This window comes from Homo sapiens, chromosome 6 (assembly GCF_000001405.40).
Source record: "Homo sapiens chromosome 6, GRCh38.p14 Primary Assembly".
Lineage (NCBI taxonomy): Eukaryota > Metazoa > Chordata > Mammalia > Primates > Hominidae > Homo > Homo sapiens.
This window is the reverse complement of record NC_000006.12, coordinates 153,860,130-153,861,762: the sequence shown is the minus strand read 5'-3', so window position 1 is coordinate 153,861,762 and position 1,633 is coordinate 153,860,130. Positions and strand designations below refer to the sequence as shown.

The following is a 1,633-nucleotide window of genomic DNA, read 5'->3' as shown; positions in this document are numbered from 1 at the left end:
CAGTGGCATGACAACACTATGACTCCCAAGCAGTTTATGCTGGTATTGGTGGTGGCTGCAATGAGCTTTTGCACCAGTCCCCAGTCACACAGTTGGTGCATATGGGGGGTGCCAGCTGTGGTGATAGTGACAGGTTGGCTGGGCTTGACCTCAGTTCCTCAAGATAAATGTCCAGGTGCCAATGATAGTGGGCCAGGCTGGGCAATCCCCAGGTGTCCTCGGCCCCCTAGGTGGTGTGTATAGGCACTCGCTGTAATAGGCAGGGGAGGAGCTATCCCTAGGCTTCTGGTGGAATGCCCAGGTGGGGATGGCTGTGGCCATGCTGCAGCCCTGTTACAGGGGAGGGCGGGTTACTTTCAGTGACAACAGTCAAAGGCAAGCAGGTGAAGAGCAAGCACTCTGCTCTTACTTTAGCTCCAGCAGCAGTGGCCTACAGCGGTGGCCGCTGGAGGTGGGAGAGTCTGCTCTTGGGGCGCATGAAGATGTGTAGTGGGTCTGCTGCTGAGGGAAGTGGGGTTGTTACAAATGATTCCCACTGTGACCCTGGTGGCAACCCAGCTGTGGTGGTGGGTGCGTGTTGTGGAAGTGAATGAAGCTCTGGGGATGTGGAGGTGCAGGGTCTGTTGAGCCTCTAGCAGAATGCAGGGTGGAGAGGGCTAGGATCTCAAAATGGCACTTTGCTGCAGCTGCTTAGGACTTAAGGGGTGTATGGGATCAAGCATGAGCTCCTTTTCCAGAGCAGTGTTGTTGTTCAGTGTCCAGGTAGCTCCCTATGTTAGTCTCAGGGCCCGTGAGGTGAGGGTTGAGTGGCAATTCTGTGGCTAGGATTGTGGGAATCTGGGAGGCTGGGAGTGGCGTAAGGATTTCTAGCTTTAGACTTTAGTGAAGTGAAAGTGAATTCATGTCTTCCTCTACAACAAAGGGATTTAGGAAAAAATATGAGTGTCATGAAATGAAACAAAATAATGACCCATATTTTGAAATATTTAGAATTCTTATGAGACTAAACCTAAGTAATAATATATAGTACAAAATAATTTTGGTTCTTACATTTTTAATGTATATCCAGAAAAAGGATTCTAAAACATGTTATTTATTTACATAAGACCAACTTCTAGTAAATGTTTTCAACTTTATTATGCATTCAGTAAGACATGGAAATGAGTGAAGTTATTGGAATTATAAACCATATGAGGTGACAAAGCTCGAAGCATCATCCCCGTATAAATGAGAAAACTGAGGTTTAGGGAGATTGAAAAACTTGCTTAAAATTTGTACAGACAGGCTTCAGGGTGGTAAGATCATATTCTCCCATCATGTCTCTTTATTAGAGGTATGGATTGCAAAGCTTAGTGCCTTATTCTCCACTTTTCCACCCTACTTTGCCTCATATTTATAGAGTGCTTTAATAATTTTCTTTGGATTTGTAAGCCAAACATGTATTTTTAAAATATGCTAGTTGAATAAACTCAAAAAATTTTTTTTAAACATTGTGGCACCAAAATGCTTATTCTTACCTTGGATTCCCCACCACGCCCATACTAAATCTAAACTTGATTTGCAAATATTGATTTGCAAGCAAGCATAATGACTACAGGAAAAAAAAAAGTTTAATTTTGTAAACTACGGGATT

General features: G+C 43.8%; 1 annotated feature.

The window, feature by feature from the left end:
- Positions 374-874: an enhancer, noted in NCBI's record as "H3K4me1 hESC enhancer chr6:154182024-154182524 (GRCh37/hg19 assembly coordinates)". NCBI's record gives its function as "activates a minimal SCP1, AML or CMV promoter by ChIP-STARR-seq in primed H9 embryonic stem cells {active_cell/tissue: H9 hESC(primed)}" and the evidence as "EXISTENCE:reporter gene assay evidence [ECO:0000049][PMID:30033119]".